At 38.3% G+C, this 21,766-nt stretch overlaps 1 protein-coding gene across 20 annotated transcripts in view; it reads right to left on the bottom strand.

The window, feature by feature from the left end:
• The window catches only part of COL24A1 (collagen type XXIV alpha 1 chain), a 427,752-nt gene that overhangs the window by 90,451 nt on the left and 315,535 nt on the right, over nucleotides 1-21,766 (bottom strand). For 17 of the 20 annotated variants that reach the window (NR_146341.2, NR_146344.1, NR_146343.1 and 14 more), the window contains 4 exons: nucleotides 21,539-21,595; nucleotides 18,902-18,955; nucleotides 4,002-4,055; nucleotides 3,853-3,906 (listed from right to left, as the gene is read on the bottom strand). Coding sequence is in view for 14 of the 20 variants with exons in the window: in XM_047417004.1 (XP_047272960.1) it covers nucleotides 3,853-3,906; nucleotides 4,002-4,055; nucleotides 18,902-18,955; nucleotides 21,539-21,595 (219 nt within the window). In the remaining 6 variants the exon portion in view is untranslated. Of the gene's footprint in view, nucleotides 1-3,852; nucleotides 3,907-4,000; nucleotides 4,056-18,901; nucleotides 18,956-21,538; nucleotides 21,596-21,766 lie in introns of those variants that run through there. The other 3 variants (NR_146340.2, NR_146342.2, XM_047417022.1) reach the window with 2 other exon arrangements.

The raw sequence follows: 21,766 nt of genomic DNA on the forward strand, positions 1-21,766 counted from the left end.
ATAATAATGTAACAAAGAGTTTTTCCCATGAAAGGGGATAAAGATCCTCAAGCTGGGGAAAGGGAAAAGAAGAAGAAAAAGAGAAGCGGGACTGTTAGACACTGACGGCAATCTCTGAAAAGAGCCCCTTGCCCCTCATCCTACCCTTGAGTCTTTCTCTTTTCCTTTTTTTTTTTTTTTTTGAGACAGAGTCTCACTCTGTCACCCAGGTTGGAGTACAGTGTCATGATCTCGGCTCATGGCAACCTCCACCTGCCAGGTTGAAGTGATTCTCCTGCCTCAGCCTCCCAAGTAGCTGGGATCACAGGCATGCACCACCACACCCAGCTAATCTTTGTATTTTTAGTAGAGACGGAGTTTCACCATGTTGGCCAGGCTGGTCTTGAACTCCTGACCTCAGGTGATCTGCCCTCCTCGGCCTCCCAAAGTGCTGGAATTACAGGCATGAGCCACCATGCCTGGCCTGCCCTTGAGTCTTTCTTAGGGTGGATAGAAACACTAATGCTCCCAGATAAGTTTGGGGATCTGGGCACAAAGATGATGCCTAGGGAGACTAAAGTCCTCATTGAGAAGTCCACATAAAGTACATAGAGTAAAAATCTCTGCATGACATGTCTAGGACAGTGGGATTAAGAATGTCTTTCTGAGTCCTCCAAGTACCCTGTATGGTGTGGGGAGCAGAGAATGTTATTTATATGTGGCCAAGAACAGAAGAAGATGGCCCTGAGAGGCCTGAGGAGGTCTTGTACCTGAGATGAGCAAATAGCTGCACATGCCAGCATAGGTCAAAATACTTCTGGCAGGAGGGCCAAGGTAGATGCCAATACGGTGAGACAATAGCAACTGTGGGCCAAAAGTGATGATGTGCATTTCAGGGGACACTAGTGTGAACAGATGATGACTGAAGACTAAACTTATTTTCCACCTGCCTTCCCTACCATCTGTAACTCCAAATTTGAAAAGAGTGAGTGGGGAAAACTCTAAATCAAATGTAGGATATTTGAGTGAATGGGGTTAAAGGCAGTCAATGGATTAGATTTACAGTACATATAAAATTGTGCTTTCTTTTTGCCTGGCCAGCACTGAAAAATAGGTAGAGTGGCCCATTTGAAATCAGATCCATTTTGAAAGGCTTCTGTTCATTGGGACTGTGCTGGTTCACAGACTACTAGAGAAAGCAGTCTGATTCTTTTGATAAGGGAAATATTTTTTAATATGCAACGTTAATACAAACGCTTGTTTTTTGTTTGTTTAAATGAGGCTGAAGGACAGTTATCTAGATACTTCACTAGTTCTAACACTCTTTAAGAAGGCAGCTTTATAAAGCAAAAATAGATTTAGAGAGTTAAGCAAAAATTATTCTTTCTTTTTTCACCAAGAAATTTCAATTCATTGAAATCTGGAATTTTGTTTTGGGAGAACAAATATTTTGGCTTGAGTCTTGGTCTTTGAGAGTCATTATAGGACAGTTCACTCACATTTGCATTACAAAAGTCTTTTAAAAAATGTTGGTTCTGCAATTGGTTTTGACTTGCTCTAAATTTTTCTTTATAGCTGCCCACAGTCTTATGCCCAATGAATGAATTGGTTGGTTAGGTTAAATTAATCATATTTTACTTAATTTTTAAAAGATTACAAGTAATAGGCTTCTTCATAATAACAGGAGCTAGGAAATAAAGTTTCTAGTGTTGTTTCTGTTGCTAATTAGTTCTGTGATTTTAGGTAACTCATAATCTCTCTGGGATTTTAATTTCTTCATTTGAAAATTAAGAGGGTTATCCAGATAATTTTAAAGGGTCATTTCCAAATCTAAAAAATAAATTTAAAGCTTTGCAAAAACAAGATGACAGCAATTGGACAGGACCCATCTGGCCACTGAAGGTGTCCCTAGTGAATAATACACAGTCAGTCATTATTCTTGTAGCAATTAATACTATTTTAAATTCTAAGAGGCTTTTTAATGTGCCCTTGGGTTGTATGCCAGCATTACCCAAAGCAGGGAAGAACTAGCTTGCCTGGATTATACAGAATTTAAACTATGGCTTCTTAGCACCTTTTAGCTCCAACACGCAGGGATTGTTGACCATGTAGGCTAGAGAGGCAGTTGACTAGTAAAAGTATTTGATATTCATTAGCCTAATTTTAACATATACTAATAAGCATCAGAAAATGTCTTACTCCTGAGACCTCTCAAGATGGAAAAAGAAAGCCTGCAAATATGAAAGTATTAATTGTAAAAAAGTAGATACTTTCGGATCAAATGTTGGACAGAACTTGCATTCTTAGGCACTTACTGCAAATATAAGGAAGTAGCATGACAGCAGTAGCAGTATTCTAGGTTCCCAATGTTTTCTATGACTTTTTCCAATTTGAGTATTAAAAATTCTAAGTGAATGACTTAACTATCTTCTTTCTCTGCTTGTTTAGGCTTATCTTCGATATGATATTTTTATTTATTAATATTATTTATTGGGGAACCTAACAGAAAGTTACTGAATAGATGCCAAGACTATACAAAATGGGTTCTAGGTAAGTGAATGCCTATTTAACATATCTGATTCAACCCCATTTTATTACTTACTCCCATAAGTGGAAAACACAAATATGGGTGAAGGCTGCTTAACAAATCAGGAGAAACACAATCTCAAATCATTACTTTTTATTCATTCTCATCTAATTTATTATTAACAGTGTAGTGCATTTTCTTAAGAATTTAATTTGAAATCAATAGCATGTGAAGTCAGAATGCCTGAAAAACAGGGCAGCAATGAATTGAAGGTGCAAATGACAAAGTTGCTTGCTATTTAAAGTTGAGGCAATGTCTATCTGGCCACATGGAAAGAGAAGACTAAATTCAGTAAACCAACAGATTTTTAGTTTGCTTGATAAGATTTGCCTTATGAAAAAACAACTTTCAAACCAATTATGAGCCTGTGTTACATAGTCAAACTACTTTTTCCTCTCTTATCCTATGACAATGATTCTTTGCTTGGTCAAACTTTAGTCAGGCTCCTGAACCTTCTAAGCCCTCCGTGTACTTCCTTGTAAAATCCAGTTTTAGCAACGAACCCTGCCAAGTCGGTTTAGCAAGAACCTTCACCCTTGATATCTGATCACCCTTGATATTTGATATCTAACTGGGTTCCTCATCCTCTACCATCCCCCAGTTGATGTCTGATTATCCCACAGTTGATGTCTGGTCACCTTGGCCTGTCTTCAGCAAAATTCTTGTTAGGTCAGTTTAACCAAAATTCCCCTGGCCCCTGGTGTTTCCTCTTAAGTAATTTTCCATTCACTCATACTCAATCTGCTCCTTTGTTATAAATTCCTACTTGCCCATGCTATATTTGGTGTTGAGTCCAATCTCTCTTCCCCATTGCAAAATCCCATTGCAGTGGTCGCTATACCTATTGTAATAGTCATGAACAAAGTCTTCCTTACCATGCTTTAACAATTATCATTTAATAATTTTTTCTTTAATGCTTTCTACAACAATTATATAGGTTTGACTGATTTTTTTTACCTTATAATACTAGTTTTAAGGTTTGCTGGTATTTCTGTTTGAAACCTCAAGAACATACTATTAATTTGAGACAACTGAGGCAATTTTCACAAAGCTAGAATAGGCTTCTGGAAAAGAAAAATTTGGATAATAGTCAAAACAAATGACTCAATCAATAATTTTGTATTAGCACAATTATTGAAAAACACCCTACTTAGAGGCCCATAGTGATCCATATTCTACAGTGATAAATGATAATTTGAATTACAATAAATAGTAACTCCTTGTGCTCCTGCTTTCTAAAATTGCTAACAATACATCTCAAATTGCCTTAAATAATTTCAACTTACTTCAGATCCTCTCTCTCCTTTTAGTCCTTGTTCACCCTGGTCACCTGGTTCGCCCTTTAGTAGAAACCAAAATAAAAATCACATATGAAGCAGAGACCAAATAAGTTATATTAATGTTAATTTTTAGAAATAATGCTTTCAAAACATACTGGGGGTCCTTGTTGTCCAGTGGCACCTCTTAGTCCTGGTACACCCACATGGCCCTAGAAATAGAAAAGATTACATTATTAGAGTAAGTAGAGACATGTGACTTAAGAGAATAGGATACTATCACTTAAAATGGTAGCAAAGTGTTGCAAAGCTCAACTTAAATGTCGTAGAGATTATGATTCTTCTTGGAAATAGAAAAGAACATAATAGCTGTTGGATATTATGGTAGCTGAAAACAAGTTAGGGTTTTCTTTCTTTCTTTCTTTCTTTTTTTTTAATGTGAATTAATGTAGCAGGCTGAATGGTGGCCTCCCAAATGTTCGTCTATGTCCCAATCCCCAGAATCTGTGAATGTGATCTTGTTTGGAAAAAGGGTCTTTGCAGATGTCACTAAGTTAAGGATCTCAAGATAAGATTATCCTGGATTATCCATGTGGGCCCTAAATCCACTAAAGAGCATAAGTGACACAGAGGTAGACTGACACAGACAACAGAGGAGAAGGCCAGGTGAAGACAGAGGCAGAGATTGGAGAGATGCGGTCATAGGAATGCTGACAGCCACTAGAAACTGGAGGAGGCAGGAGTGTGGCCCTAGAGCCTCTAGAGGGAGCGTGGCCCTGTTGATCCCTTGATTTTGGATTTCTGGTCTCTAGAACTGAGAAAATTACATATCTATTGTTGTAAGCCACCCATTTTGTGGTAATTTGTTATAGCAGCCTCAGGAAACTAATATAGTCAATAACCAAAGGAACAGAGTTTGAGAATACATTTCTTTTTCAACCTCTTCCTCCTCCGAAAGTGTACTATGGTCTCCATTTTTACAAACTAACTTCACAACTATTTGGACGGTAGATTTACTGGGCTGAAGACTGGGAGCAGTTACTGGGAGGTATTACTATAATACCAAGAAACACCACATGACTCTGACATTCGGCAATCTGTCGTCACCTTAGTTCTCCTAAGAAGGAATGCTGACCTACCACATTTCCCTTTTCAAGTGTGTAAATAGAAACTAGCAACAACCCAGAAGCGTGTCAGATGAGAGTTATGCAGGAATAATTCTGCGTGTAAATTCTTTTATCCCTTTTCCTACTCAATCAGATTTCTTTCTCCCTATTTTCATACGTTACAGAAAGAATGCCTTAGGAAAGAGTTATCAGTCCCATCTCCTGGGCTAGAAGAAGAGATTGCATACATAGGCTAACAATATTTATTCTTTTATTATTATTATTATTATTATTATTATTATTATTATACTTGAAGTTTTAGGGTACATGTGCACAATGTGCAGGTTAGTTACATATGTATACATGTGCCATGCTGGTGTGCTGCACTCACTAACTTGTCATCTAGCATTAGGTATATCCCCCAATGCTATCCCTCTCCCCTCCCCCCACCCCACAACAGTCCCCAGAGTGTGAAGTTCCCCTTCCTGTGTCCATGTGTTCTCATTGTTCAGTTCCCACCTATGAGTGAGAATATGCGGTGTTTGGTTTTTTGTTCTTGCGATAGCTGACTGAGAATGATGATTTCCAATTTCATCCATGTCCCTACAAAGGACATGAACTCATCATTTTTTATGGCTGCATAGTATTCCATGGTGTATATGAGCCACATTTTCTTAATCCAGTCTATCATTGTTGGACATTTGGGTTGGTTCCAAGTCTTTGCTATTGTGAATAACGCCGCAATAAACGTACCTGTGCATGTGTCTTTATAGCAGCATGATTTATAGTCCTTTGGTTATATACCCAGTAATGGGATGGCTGGGTCAAATGATATTTGTAGTTCTAGATCCCTGAGGAATCACCACACTGACTCCCACAATGGTTGAACTAGTTTACAGTCCCACCAACAGTGTAAAAGTGTTCCTATTTCTCCACATCCTCTCCAGCACCTGTTGTTTCCTGACTTTTTAATGATTGCCATTCTAACTGGTGTGAGATGGTATCTCATTGCGGTTTTGATTTGCATTTCTCTGATGGCCAGTGATGATGAGCATTTTTTCATGTGTTTTTTGGCTGCATAAATGTCTTCTTTTGAGAAGTGTCTGTTCATGTCCTTTGCCCACTTTTTGATGGGGTTGTTTGTTTTTTTCTTGTAAATTTGTTTGAGTTCATTGTAGATTCTGGATATTAGCCCTTTGTCAGATGAGTAGGTTGCGAAAATTTTCTCCCATTTTGTAGGTTGCCTGTTCACTCTGATGGTAGTTTCTTTTGCTGTGCAGAAGCTCTTTAGTTTAATTAGATCCCATTTGTCAATTTTGGCTTTTGTTGCCATTGCTTTTGGTGTTTTAGACGTGAAGTCCTTGCCCATGCCTATGTCCTGAACGGTAATGCCTAGGTTTTCTTCTAGGGTTTTTATGGTTTTAGGTCTAACATTTAAGTCTTTAATCCATCTTGAATTGATTTTTGTATAAGGTGTAAGGAAGGGATCCAGTTTCAGCTTTCTATATATGGCTAGCCAGTTTTCCTAGCACCATTTATGAAATAGGGAATCCTTTCCCCATTGCTTGTTTTTCTCAGGTTTGTCAAAGATCAGATAGTTGTAGATATGCGGCATTATTTCTGAGGGCTCTGTTCTGTTCCATTGATCTATATCTCTGTTTTGGTAACAGTACCATGCTGTTTTGGTTACTGTAGCCTTGTAGTATAGTTTGAAGTCAGGTAGTGTGATGCCTCCAGCTTTGTTCTTTTGGCTTAGGATTGACTTGGCGATGCGGGCTCTTTTTTGGTTCCATATGAACTTTAAAGTAGTTTTTTCCAATTCTGTGAAGAAAGTCATTGGTAGCTTGATGGGGATGGCATTGAATCTGTAAATTACCTTGGGCAGTATGGCCATTTTCACGATATTGATTCTTCCTACCCATGAGCATGGAATGTTCTTCCATTTGTTTGTATCCTCTTTTATTTCATTGAGCAGTGGTTTGCAGTTCTCCTTGAAGAGGTCCTTCACATCCCTTGTAAGTTGGATTCCTAGGTATTTTATTCTCTTTGAAGCAATTGTGAATGGGAGTCCACTCATGATTTGGCTCTCTGTTTGTCTGTTGTTGGTGTATAAGAATGCTTGTGATTTTTGCACATTGATTTTGTATCCTGAGACTTTGCTGAAGTTGCTTATCAGCTTAAGGAGATTTTGGGCTGAGACAATGGAGTTTTCTAGATATACAATCATGGCATCTGCAAAGAGGGACAATTTGACTTCCTCTTTTCCTAACTGAATACCCTTTATTTCCTTATCCTGCCTAATTGCCCTGGCCAGAACTTCCAACACTATGTTGAATAGGAGTGGTGAGAGAGGGCATCCCTGTCTTGTGCCAGTTTTCAAAGGGAATGCTTCCAGTTTTTGCCCATTCAGTATGATATTGGCTGTGGGTTTGTCATAGATAGCTCTTATTATTTTGAGATACGTCCCATCAATACCTAATTAATGGAGAGTTTTTAGCATGAAGGGCTGTTGAATTTTGTCAAAGGCCTTTTCTGCATCTATTGAGATAATCATGTGGTTTTTGTCTTTGGTTCTGTTTATATGGTGGATTACATTTATTGAATTGCGTATATTGAACCAGCCTTGCATCCCAGGGATGAAGCCCACTTGATCATGGTGGATAAGCTTTTTGATGTGCTGCTGGATTCAGTTTGCCAGTATTTTATTGAGGATTTTTGCATCAATGTTCATCAAGGATATTGGTCTAAAATTCTCTTTTTTGGTTGTGTCTCTGCCCGGCTTTGGTATCAGGATGATGCTGGCCTCATAAAATGAGTTAGGGAGGATTCCCTCTTTTTCTATTGATTGGAATAGTTTCAGAAGGAATGGTACCATTTCCTCCTTGTACCTCTGGTAGAATTCGGCTGTGAATCCATCTGGTCCTGGACTCTTTTTGGTTGGTAAGCTATTGATTATTGCCACAATTTCAGCTCGTTATTGATCTATTCAGAGATTCAACTTCTTCCTGGTTTAGTCTTGGGAGGGTGTATGTGTCGAGGAATTTATCCATTTCTTCTAGATTTTCTAGTTTATTTGCGTAGAGGTGTTTGTAGTATTCTCTGATGGTAGTTTGTATTTCTGTGGGATCAGTGGTGATATCCCCTTTATCATTTTTTATTGTGTCTGTTTGATTCTTCTCTCTTTTCTTTATTAGTCTTGCTAGTGGTCTATCAATTTTGTTGATCCTTTCAAAAAACCAGCTCCTGGATTCATTCATTTTTTGAAGGGTTTTTTGTGTCTCTATTTCCTTCAGTTCTGCTGTGATTTTAGTTATTTCTTGCCTTCTGCTAGCTTTTGAATGTGTTTGCTCTTGCTTTTCTAGTTCTTTTAATTGTGATGTTAGGGTGTCAATTTTGGATCTTTCCTGGTTTCTCTTCTGGGCATTTAGTGCTATAAATTTCCCTCTACACACTGCTTTGAATGCATCCCAGAGATTCTGGTATGTTGTGTCTTTGTTCTTGTTGGTTTCAAAGAACATCTTTATTTCTGCCTTCATTTCGTTATGTACCCAGTAGTCATTCAGGAGCAGATTGTTCAGTTTCCATGTAGTTGAGCAGTTTTGAGTGAGATTCTTAATCCTGAGTTCTAGTTTGATTGCACTGTGGTCTGAGAGATAAGTTTGTTATAATTTCTATTCTTTTACATTTGCTGAGGGGAGCTTTACTTCCAAGTATGTGGTCAATTTTGGAATAGGTGTGGTGTGGTGCTGAAAAAAATGTATATTCTGTTGATTTGGGGTGGAGAGTTCTGTAGATGTCTATTAGGTCTGCTTGGTGCAGAGCTGAGTTGAATTCCTGGGTATCCTTGTTGACTTTCTGTCTCGTTGATCTGTCTAATGTTGACAGTGGGGTGTTAAAGTCTCCCATTATTATTGTGTGGGAGTCTAAGTCTCTTTGCAGGTCACTCAGGACTTGCTTTGTGAATCTGGGTGCTCCTGTATTGGGTGCATATATATTTAGGATAGTTAGCTCTTCTTGTTGAATTGATCCCTTTACCATTTTGTAATGGCCTTCTTTGTCTCTTTTGATCTTTGTTGGTTTAAAGTCTGTTTTATCAGAGACTACGATTGCAACCCCTGCCTTTTTTTGTTTTCCATTTGCTTGGTAGATCTTCCTCCATCCTTTTATTTTGAGCCTATGTGTGTCTCTGCACATGAGATGGGTTTCCTGAATACAGCACACTGATGGGTCTTGACTCTTTATCCAATTTGCCAGTCTGTGTCTTTTAATTGGAGCATTTAGTCCATTTACATTTAAAGTTAATATTGTTATGTGTGAATTTGATCCTGTCATTATGCTGTTAGCTGGTTATTTTGCTCGTTAGTTGATGCAGTTTCTTCCTAGTCTTGATGGTCTTTACAATTTGGCATGTTTTTGCAGTGGCTGGTACCGGTTGTTCCTTTCCATGTTTAGCGCTTCCTTCAGGAGCTCTTTTAGGGCAGGCCTGGTGGTGACAAAATGTCTCAGCATTTGCTTGTCTGTAAAGTATTTTATTTCTCCTTCACTTATGAAGCTTAGTTTGGCTGGATATGAAATTCTGGGTTGAAAATTCTTTTCTTTAAGAATGTTGATATTGGCCCCCACTCTCTTCTGGCTTGTAGAGTTTCTGCCAAGAGATCTGCTCTTAGTCTGATGGGCTTTCCTTTGTGGGTAACCCGACCTTTCTCTCTGGCTGCCCTTAACATTTTTTCCTTCATTTCAACTTTGGTGAATCTGACAATTATGTGTCTTGGAGTTGCTCTTCTCGAGGAGTATCTTTGTGGCGTTCTCTGTATTTCCTGAATCTGAATGTTGGCCTGCCTTGCTAGATTGGGGAAATTCTCCTGGATAATATCCTGCAGAGTGTTTTCCAACTTGGTTCCATTCTCCCCGTCACTTTCAGGTACACCAATCAGACGTAGATTTGGTTTTTTCATATAGCCCCATATTTCTTGGAGGCTTTGCTCATTTCTTTTTATTCTTTTCTCTCTAAACTTCCCTTCTCGCTTCATTTCATTCACTTCATCTTCCATCACTGCTACCCTTTCTTCCAGTTGATCGCATGGCCTCCTGAGGCTTCTGCATTCTTCACGTAGTTCTCGAGCCTTGGTTTTCAGCTCCATCAGCTCCTTTAAGCACTTCTCTGTATTGGTTATTCTAGTTATACATTCTTCTAAATTTTTTTCAAAGTTTTCAACTTCTTTGCCTTTGGTTTGAATTTCCTCCCATAGCTCGGAGTAATTTGATCGTCTGAAGCCTTCTTCTCTGAGTTCATCAAAGTCATTCTCCTTCCAGCTTTGTTCTGTTGCTGGTGAGGAACTGCGTTCCTTTGGAGGAGGAGAGGCGCTCTACTTTTCAGAGTTTCCAGTTTTTCTGCTCTGTTTTTTCCCCATCTTTGTGGTTTTATCTACTTTTGGTCTTTGATGATGGTGATGTACAGATGGGTTTTCGGTGTGGATGTCCTTTCTGTTTGTTAGTTTTCCTTCTAACAGACAGGACCCTCAGCTGCAGGTCTGTTGGAGTACCCGGCCGTGTGAGGTGTCAGTCTGCCCCTGCTGGGGGGTGCCTCCCAGTTAGGCTGCTCGGGGGTCAGGGGTCAGGGACCCACTTGAGGAGGCAGTCTGCCCGTTCTCAGATCTCCAGTTGCATGCTGGGAGAACCACTGCTCTCTTCAAAGCTGTCAGACAGGGACATTTAAGTCTGCAGGGTTACTGCTGTCTTTTTGTCTGTCTGTGCCCTGCCCCCAGAGGTGGAGCCTACAGAGGCAGGCAGGCCTCCTTGAGCTGTGGTGGGCTCCACCCAGTTTGAGCTTCCCGGCTGCTTTGTTTACCTAAGTGAGCCTGGGCAATGGCGGGTGCCCCTCCCCCAGCCTGGCTGCCGCCTTGCAGTTTGATCTCAGACTGCTGTGCTAGCAATCAGCGAGACTCCGTGGGCATAGGACCCTCTGAGCCATGTGCGGGATATAATCTCCTGGTGTGCTGTTTTTAAAGCCCGTCGGAAAAGCGCAGTATTCGGGTCAGAGTGACCCGATTTTCCAGGTGCCATCTGTCACCTCTTTCTTTGACTAGGAAAGGGAACTCCCTGACCCCTTGCGCTTGCCGAGTGAGGCAATGCCTTGCCCTGCTTCGGCTCGCGCACAGTGCGTGCACCCACTGACCTGCGCCCACTGTCTGGCACTCCCTAGTGAGATGAACCCAGTACCTCAGATGGAAATGCAGAAATCACCTGTCTTCTGCGTTGCTCACGCTGGGAGCTGTAGACCGGAGCTGTTCTTATTTGGCAATCTTGGCTCCTAACAACAATATTTATTCTTACAGCAAAGTCAGTTGAAGGCTTCTTTGTTTGCATTCTGAGGCAAATGTTTACGGTTTAAGTTTCAACTTCCCGATAAAGAAAATGAAATCTGTTTAAGGAAGTGAAGAGTGGCAAGAGAGAAAGGCTAGTCTTGAGAGCTTCTATATAGCCCATGACCACACTAACGGAAAAACCATGATCACACACGAGCCTTAGCAAAACATGAGCAGAGCCAGCAATTAACAGAATCTGGTCAATCAAGACGGAGTGTGGTACAAGTAAATGTGACTACTTGAAGGTCACTTATCAAACAGGATTCAGGAAAGAAGTGGCTGGTGAAAAGCTGGAGGTGAAGTAAGAGTGAGAATATGAGCAAACTACAAAACTCTAAACCATCATGCCCAATTATGGCTTTTCCACCATCCCTGTATGTAGTTCTACAGAAATATTTTCAGAGTGATCATAGAATAGCCAACTGCCTCTCCTGGCTTTGTGAAGTATGACTGTAAATCTCACCAAGACAAACCTGCATTCTAAGAGTTTTGTTACAATTACTTTGGTTTATCACTCTAAAAATTGACTATGACCATTTTTCTGTATTGGTAAAAATTAAATGTGCCATAGAAAATGTTATTACAAAATTATTCAGGAGAGGTTATGGAAAGTGATGGAACTTGTCAGATAATATTAGTGGTGGGATGAGTTGAATGGCCAAAGGAACTTACAGAAGATTTTATAAGGGAAGTGATAAGTTCAATCTTGAAGAATGAGTGTTCCGGGCAGTAAAGTGAGGACATTCTGGCAGAGGCAATAGCATGGGAAATAAAGGGATGCATCTGACAGAACATGTTAGGTAGAAAATGGATCTGAGAGGGCTATGACTGGAGACAGGAAGTCTAGTTGGGAAGCTATTGAAATAATTTTGGCAAAAAATGATGAGAGCCTGATGGTAGTTTCTTTTGCTGTGCAGAAGCTCTTTAGTTTAATTAGATCCCATTTGTCAATTTTTGCTTTTGTTGACATTGCTTTTGGTGTTTTAGACATGAAGTCCTTGCCCATGCCTATGTCCTGAATGGTATTGCCTAGGTTTTCTTCTAGGGTTTTTATGGTTTTAGGTCTAACATGTAAGTCTTTAATCCATCTTGAATTAATTTTTGTATAAGGTGTAAGGAAGGGATCCAGTTTCAGCTTTCTACATATGGCTAGCCAGTTTTCCTAGCACCATTTATTAAATAGGGAATCCTTTCCCCATTGCTCGTTTTTCTCAGGTTTGTCAAAGATCAGATGGTTGTAGATATGTGGCATTATTTCTGAGGGCTCTGTTCTATTCCATTGATCCATATCTCTGTTTTGGTACCAGTACCATGCTGTTTTGGTTACTGTAGCCTTGTAGTATAGTTTGAAGTCAGGTAGCGTGATGCCTCCAGCTTTGTCCTTTTGGCTTAGGTTGACTTGGCAATGTGGGCTCTTTTTTGGTTCCATATGAACTTTAAAGTAGTTTTTTCCAATTCTGTGAAGAAAGTCATTGGTAGCTTGATGGGGATGGCATTGAATCTGTAAATTACCTTGGGCAGTATGGCCATTTTCACGATATTGATTCTTCCTACCCATGAGCATGGAATGTTCTTCCATTTGTTTGTATCCTCTTTTATTTCATTGAGCAGTGGTTTGTAGTTCTCCTTGAAGAGGTCCTTCACGTCCCTTGTAAGTTGGATTCCTAGGTATTTTATTCTCTTTGAAGCAATTGTGAATGGGAGTTCACTCATGATTTGGCTCTCTGTTTGTCTGTTATTGTTGTGTAAGAATGCTTGTGATTTTTGCACATTGATTTTGTATCCTGAGACTTTGCTGAAGTTGCTTATCAGCTTAAGGAGATTTTGGGCCGAGACAATGGGGTTTTCTAGATATACAATCATGTCATCTGCAAACAGGGACAATTTGACTTCCTCTTTTCCTAACTGAATACCCTTTATTTCCTTCTCCTGCCTAATTGCCCTGGCCAGAACTTCCAACACTATGTTGAATAGGAGTGGTGAGAGAGGGCATCCCTGTCTTGTGCCAGTTTTCAAAGGGAATGCTTCCAGTTTTTGCCCATTCAGTATGATACTGGCTGTGGGTTTGTCATAGATAGCTCTTATTATTTTGAGATACGTCCCATCAATACCTAATTAATGGAGAGTTTTTAGCATGAAGGGTTGTTGAATTTTGTCAAAGGCCTTTTCTCAGAGTGAACAGGCAACCTACAAAATGGGAGAAAATTTTCGCAACCTACTCATCTGACAAAGGGCTAATATCCAGAATCTACAATGAACTCAAGCAAATTTACAAGAAAAAAACAACCCCATCAACAAGTGGGTGAAGGATATGAACAGACACTTCTCAAAAGAAGACATTTATGCAGCCAAAAAACACATGACAAAATGCTCATCATCACTGGCCATCAGAGAAATGCAAATCAAAACCACAATGAGATACCATCTCACACCAGTTAGAATGGTGATCAGTAAAAAGTCAGGAAACAACAGGTGCTGGAGAGGATGTGGAGAAATAGGAACACTTTTACACTGTTGGTGGGACTGTAAACTAGTTCAACCATTGTGGAAGTCAGTGTGGCGATTCCTCAGGGATCTAGAACTACAAATACCACTTGACCCAGCCATCCCATTACTGGGTATATACCCAAAGGATTATAAATCATGTTGCTATAAAGACACATGCACACGTATGTTTATTGTGGCACTATTCACAATAGCAAAGACTTGGAACCAACCCAAATGTCCAACAACGATAGACTGGATTAAGAAAATGTGGCACATATACAATATGGAATACTATGCAGCCATAAAAAAGGATGAGTTCATGTCCTTTGTAGGGACATGGATGAAACTGGAAACCATCATTCTCAGCAAACTATGGCAAGGACAAAAAACCAAACACTGCATGTTCTCACTTATAGGTGGGAATTGAACAATGAGAACACTGGGACACAGGAAGGGGAACATCACACTCTGGGGACTGTTGTGGGGTGGGGGGAGGGGGAAGGGATAGCATTAGGAGCTATACCTAATGCTAAATGATGAGTTAATGGGTGCAGCACACCAGCATGGCACATGTATACATATGTAACAAACCTGTACATTGTGCACATGTACCCTAAAACTTAAAGTATAATAATAATAAAATTTAAAAAAAAAGTAAATACAAAAAAATGGTGAGAGCCTGAACTAAAGTAGGACAAAGTAACTAGATTCCAGAAACATTTAAGAATCAAAAGAAGTGGCTGACTGTGAGACATGAGTAGGGGTATGGGGAAGAAAAAGAGATTCATAGAGACAGAGTGAGTGAGTGAGAGAGAGAGATTGAGAGAGAGACAGAGAGAGGGAGAAAGAAAGAGAAAGAAAGAGAGACAGAGGATTCATCTACTGGTTTAGACATCTGAATGGCTGGTGATACTATTCACTGAATTGAGGACATAACAAGAGGAAGATCAGATTAAATTTGGAAAGGATGAGGTACTATGGTTTGGCACTTACTGAGTTTGAGGTGCCTGTGATGATGTCCAATAGCTATTTAGATGTGTATGTCTGATGCTAAGGAGTGAAGGCCAAGTTGGGATTTAGTTATTTCATTGTGTGTAAAAATTCTATGACCATTGCCAGCCCCCCTCCGCCCACAGCAAAAAGAACTTTGAGATGCAACATAATTTATTCAAAGTATTTCTGGGACTTCATCTCTCCTAAGTTTAGCTTGAGTTAATCTTGGCTATTTATGTTTCCATTTATACCTTTAAATAAAGTGTTTCCATTTATACCTTTAAAAAGTGGCTGTTGCCAGGATAATACATTTATTCCCTCCATGTCCTCTGGCTCTCAAGCGTCAAATAAATTTATCTTGATCTATGTGATGTACAGTTTTAGTACAGTTTATAGCAGGATGACAGCTATAATTGCTTTTCCTTTTATGAAATAACATGAAATAGCTGTACATATTTTATAGCTAAAATTCACTATGTTTATTTTTATACTGATTAAGTGTTCTTATTCTCCATGTTTTTTATATATATGATGTCCATGGGGGCAGAGACTGTGTCTGGGATGTCCAATGTAATATCCATGGCCCCTAGCTCTTCTCCTGGCCCATGGCAGACACTCAAATACAAGCTTAATGACCAGAGACATATATATATATATTTTTTAGATGGAGTCTTGCTCTGTTGCCAGGCTGGAGTGCAGTGGCATGATCTTGGCTCACTGCAACCTCTGCCTCTGCCTCTGCCTCCCGGGTTCAAGTGTTTCTCCTGCCTCAGCCTCCCGAGTAGCTGGGACTACAGGCATGCACCACCACACCCAGATAATTTTTTGTATTTTAGTAGAGATGGGGTTTCACTATGTTGGGCAGGATGGTCTCGATCTCCTGACCTCGTGATCTGCCCACGGTGGCCTCCCAAAGTGCTGGGATTACAGGTGTGAGCCACTGCACCCGGCCCAGAGACACAGTTTTTAGAAATGTTATCATACATAACACATAAAGTATGTCAGTACAACTAAGTATTCGTTAATAATAATGAGCAGGACCCTTGACTTTGGTCAAAGATGTTTGTGACTATAAACATGTTTTTTAAAAGCCAGGTGATTATTCAGTCATAAAGACAATAAAATATTGATATATTTTATAACATGGATGAACTTTTAAAACACTGTGCCAGACACAAAAGGCTACATGTATAATTCTATTTATATGAAATATCCAGAATACAGAAATCCAGAGACAAAAAGAAAAAGGTTTCCAGGGGCTTGGGGGAATAGGGAGTGACTGCCTAATGAGTATGGGGCTTCCTTTTGGAAGTGTTGAAAATGTTTGGAACTAGACAATGGTGATGGTTGCACATGATGGCGTTCAAGACACACTACCCCAAAATATGGCATCTCGGAATATTGAATATTTTAAGCTGAAGCAATCTGAGGAATGGCATGTGCAGAGAGGACTTTCTTACCTTCCTTTGATGCAGGTCATAAGACACATGTGAGAGGTGTCTCCCTATACCTGGAGGAAAGGAGCATCCTCATCTCCAAAAACGAAGGGACACAGAGAATAATCTGAATGAACAGTCCTTGCTAAGTTTTCCCCAGTTTACTAATCTTAACCCATACCTTTGCCCTATCACATTCTTCTAAGACTTCCTCATCAAACCTAGCATAAAAGTATTCAGGTTTAACTGTTTCTTTGGAGCTTTATTTCTTTATGAAGGCTCCCGTGTTACGTATAATTTATATGAAATTAATCTGTATGCTTTTCTCTTGTTAATCTGCCTTTTGTTACCAAGTCCCCAGCCAAGAATTCAGAAGGGCAGAAGAAAAGATATTTTTCCTCCCTTGCCCACTAACAATGTGAATGTACTAAATGTCACTGAATTGTAAAGTTTAAAATGGTTAAAATGGTAAATTTTATGTTACATGTATTTTATCCTAATAAAGAAGCTTGGTGATAATGCTAACCATCAGTTTAGCAGAGTGAAATCATAGCATATACAATATCCATATAGAAAAGCAAACATTTTAAAATATCACCTGAAGCTATAATAAGATAACCTAATTCTAAATAAAGCGTGGTTCCTCTGTATAAATCAAACTTGTGCTAGGAGAAAACTTGGTGAGGGAGAAAGGTGGATATTTCATGATTTTGAGCTAAGCAATAAAAGTAGCATGGTTGTCTGGCACAAGATGGCTAACTGTTTAGCATAGAATCATCAATAAATAAAATGATCCCTAAAGCCTAAGGACTTAGGAAGAAATAAGACAGAAAGGAAGACATGGATCAAACTAGTTTATACAACATCTACAGTTGAAAAATTATCAGGGGTATACAAGGAAGGGGAAGGAGAAGTAGATTAGACAGTGAACCTAGGGAAAAGTGAATGACTGATTGTCCAGAAAACGCCGGCAGGGCTTTTCTTTGGCTAGCCAAGTGAGGAAATTCTTGTCTCCTTTCAAGCGAATAGTTAACTGCTCATTTGCTGGTAAATATACTGATTTAGCTACTGAATGTTCTGTAGCTGGTAGAGGCCAAAATGAGATATTGCAGGAATCTGGTTTTCCCGAGACTGTGTGAAGAAGTCATGCACAGAAAAAGCTGAGGAACTTTAAGAGGCTTCTCAAATTATGCTGGAAGCAGTTGGGTTGGCTTCTCAACTCGGAGAAAAGTAAATTTCAAATAAATCCACTCAATTCCTTGGGTTAGGAAACACTTGTAGATACAAATGTTATGTAAATTGGAAACAGAACACATATAACCTGCTAAAAATGTTTCTTTGAAAACAGAAAAAAAAATGGTAATCGCAACAATTTCACAAATATTTAGAACTATTCTCAACATCTGCTTCAAAGAGAGTTTTAGGGAGTGAAAGTTAATTTTTCAGATTCCTCTGGCTTGAGAAAAATCAACTTATTAATGATAGTTATCTATCTATCATCTTGTCCATTTAGTTTGGGTAATATAAATCTGCATTTCAGACATGACCACAGGAATTTCATCTTGACAGAGATGTATCAGATTAATTAACCCATCAACTCATTATTAAAAGCTTATTATGTACAGGGATTAGAACTAGACGTTGTACAAGAAAGAAAGAAGACATATGCCAAGTGGGGGAGCTAAGACACCTACACATTAAAAATAATTAGCAAAATTAGCAAAAAAAGAATAGCAACAGAATGTGGTAAAATGTTTGTACTGAATGACTTAAATAAATAATATTATTACAAGACTACAGGAGAGAGCAAGATTACCGTTAGTGGGTCAGGGGAAAAGGGAATTTGAGTGAAATTATAAAGGATTTATGTAAGCAAAGATTACATAATATTATAGGCAAATAGAGAATGCTATGAGCAAAGGAATAAGACAGGAACTATAGGGAGACAGGAGACAACCTCTAACTCTGTAAAGCAATTGGCAATGTAAATAGAGGGAAGAGATATAAGGCAGGAATACAGAACATCCTCAAAAACAAATGTGATATTAAAAAATGACACTGAATACGTTCTACACACAGCCTAATTTTAGCTAAGTTGGTCAGATAATGTCCCTCTCAGGAATGGAAGAGGATAAGAATTGACTTAAGCCTTGAGAATATAAAGGTATTTAGCCACCTACTTGACACCTCTTTATTGAATTCCTACTATATACCAGGAACTTTGTGTTCTAGAAATTGGGGGTATAATGATGAAAATGAGAGACAAGATTTTTTTTCTCATGGATCCCACATTTTGTTGGGGGAAGACAAACAATAAACAAGGAAACAAATATATTTAAAAAGTGACAAGATAATATAGCATAAAATGTCATGAAGGAAATCGAGTAATATGGTCCAGAGTGATTGTTCTAGATCTATTTTAGATAGGGCAGTTAGAGAAGGCCTCTCAGGAGGTAACATTTCAGTTGAGATCTGAATGATGAGAAAAAGCAGAAGTAAGAAAAGACAAAGATGATTCTAGGAAGGAGGAACAGAAAGTAGAAAGACGTCTCTTCTAGGATTAAAAACATAAGACATTACTAATTATCTCAATAATGGAATGGAAAAAATGGAATAGAAACACAGAGAACCCTATTTAAATTCATTAGTAAGGGGTATAACTTGCAATTACCTTATATCCCTCTGCTCCAGGCTCTCCTCTCTCTCCTTGGTCCCCCACTGGACCCTACAGAGACCACACACAAAACAATCAGTTTTACAGCTGGATCAAAGTATATGCGAATGCAGGTGATAAGATTAGTGTTGTTTATTCTTTTGTCAAAAATATAAAACCAAATATATGATTTGTTTAGTTCCATTAAATAATTTCAAAATATTGAATTTCAATGATACCAAGAACAACATCAAAATACACCAACCAGTGAATTATATAAAGAGAATCTCATAATGATTCTACTAGGAAAAATATTGAAAACTGAAGCCCAATTAAAAATATGAATATTTTCACCAAGTGTGGTGGCTCACACCTGTAGTCCCAGCACGTTGGGAGGCTGAGGCAGGAGGATCCCTTGAGCCCAGGAGTTCGAGACCAGCCTGGGCAATAACGTGAGACCCTGTCTCTACAAATAATGTAAAAATTAGCCAGGCATGGTGGTATGTGACTATAGTCCCAGCTACTTGGGAGCTGAAGCAGGGGGAACACTTGAGCCCAGGAGGTCGAGGTTGCAGTGAGTCATGTTTGCACCACTGCTCTCCAGCCTGGGCAACAGAGTGAGACCCTGTTTCAAACAACAACAGCAGCAACAGCAACAACAAAACAACAAAATGTTTCAATTAGTACAGTATGTTATAAATGATGCCCAAATAACTTACTTTTTTACTAAATATTAAAATGATTGAAAAAGATTTAAGCAGGACAGTTCAGTACATAATTCCATTAATTACAAAAGATTATATTTAAGTGATCTTTTAAAAGGGATTTAAATAGTAAATCCTACTTTACCATTCTTCATGAGAAAGTCTACTGTTGGCTGGGTGTGGTAGCTCATGCCTGTAATCCCAGCACTGTGGGAGGCTGAGATAGGAGGATCCCTTGAGCTCAAGGGTTTGAGACCAGCCTAGGCAACAGAGAGAGACCCTGTCTCTAAAAAAAATTAAAAAATAATAAATAAAAATTAGCTGGCCCTGGTGGCACGAGCCTGCAGTCCCAGCTACTTGGGAGGTGGGAGGATCACTTAGCCCAGGTGTTTGAGGCTGCAGTGAGCCAGCACTCCAGCCTGGGCAACAGAGGGAGACACAGTCTCAGAATAAAAGTCTATTGTGAAATTTTTAATTTTCAAGACATAAATTAACCTAAAAAATTATACTTATTAATTTTAATCCTTAAGCCAAAAATTATCTAATAAACTCAGACTTACTTTTCCTGAATATTTCTAATAGAAAATCTTTAATATAATAAATCATCAAATTATCTACTATAAAATGAAATAGAAATATCAGCACCCACTAGGACCTACCATCTGAACAAAAACTTAAATTGAAATTAGTTGGAAAAGCATAGGATTTATTATAGAGCATTAATTGACAAATTTTAATTTACTCTTACGTGGACAAAGGTAAGAGACATGTCAACACTACAATCTCTGACTCTGCTTTAATTATTTAGAATCTTTGTGGTTTAAGTTTCATGCCTGTCCCGTGTCTACTGGATAAAACTACTATTGTTATGCTAGTCTTTTAATATATTTATTACATTTTAGGTGGCATTCTTTGATCCTGGCATACCTAAATCTGGGAAAAACAACCACTACTATACTCCTTTTGCCAAGTTTTTTCCATTTGCTTTAAGATTTTTACATTATTTCCATATATTTCCCTCTCTTAGTGGTTTAGAGAGACTAGAATATTATTTAATAAAGAAACTTACATATTCCTTTAGATACCTATATATCTATTGCCTCTATATGAGATGGCTTGATTTAATCAGAAAAATTAGAATCTTTCTTGTCTATTTCTAAAACAAAGTATAACTTTCAACCATCTCCAAAGAGCCAGGTCAAAATATCAGGAGTGACTACATATTCTGATCCTTGTGCCTTAAGATTGTTTTACTCTATATAATACTATGTGAGAAATGGAAAATATAGCCAATTATATAATATTTATTTCTATGGACTAAAAATTTTCATTTAATCCATTTAATTTACATATGGTCTTTAGACATTGTTTTAGTCAAACATGAACACAGAGACAGTTATTCAAATAAAGCTATAATAGCTACTTTTTAGAGACCATGGTTATAGTTAACCCTTAAAATGTTTAATAAGAAGGCTATAGATCAGTAATCTTTAAAGGTTATTGGTTCTAATAACTCCTTAGAGGGGTTTTGAAATCACTTGGCAACTGTGTGTAAACTGCTATAAGAAGTATATAGATAAGATTTTTTTAATATTTAGAAATAAATCTGAATGTGATAATTACAGAAATATGTATCCTAAAATGTCTAGAGTGTATAAGTTTTCTGACAATCTTTGTAAAAGTTGTTATCATGCCTTCAATGCAGAAAGTTAGATTTGGGAAGTCACTATATTAACCCTATATATTATGCTAAAATATGACCTGCATATTTTTCATATTAAAGACTTTAATATCATTTAAATTTTGTGACCATAAATATCACCCTCCTATCAAACCATGTTATAAAACTAACAAAAGAAAACTCCTTGAAAAGATTTAATTGGTGTTGTGAATCTATTATATAATTGTGTTTTATCTTGAATAACCAGAATTATTTCAGAAAAAGACCTACTGGTTCACCTCGAGGCCCAGGTGGTCCTAGGACTGTGCTATCTTCTCCTGGGTAGCCCTAAAATGAAATAATGATTTATAAACAAAACTCAATAAATAAAATAAACATCAAAAACACACAACCTACTATTTTTAAGTATATTAGAAAATGCAGTTTGATGTTATCTTTTTTTAAGTGGAAAACTTTGATGTAAGAAACTAAGCCTATGATATTTTATACAGAGTTGTA

The sequence above is a fragment of the Homo sapiens genome, chromosome 1 (genome assembly GCF_000001405.40).
Source record: "Homo sapiens chromosome 1, GRCh38.p14 Primary Assembly".
Classification (NCBI taxonomy): Eukaryota; Metazoa; Chordata; class Mammalia; order Primates; family Hominidae; genus Homo; species Homo sapiens.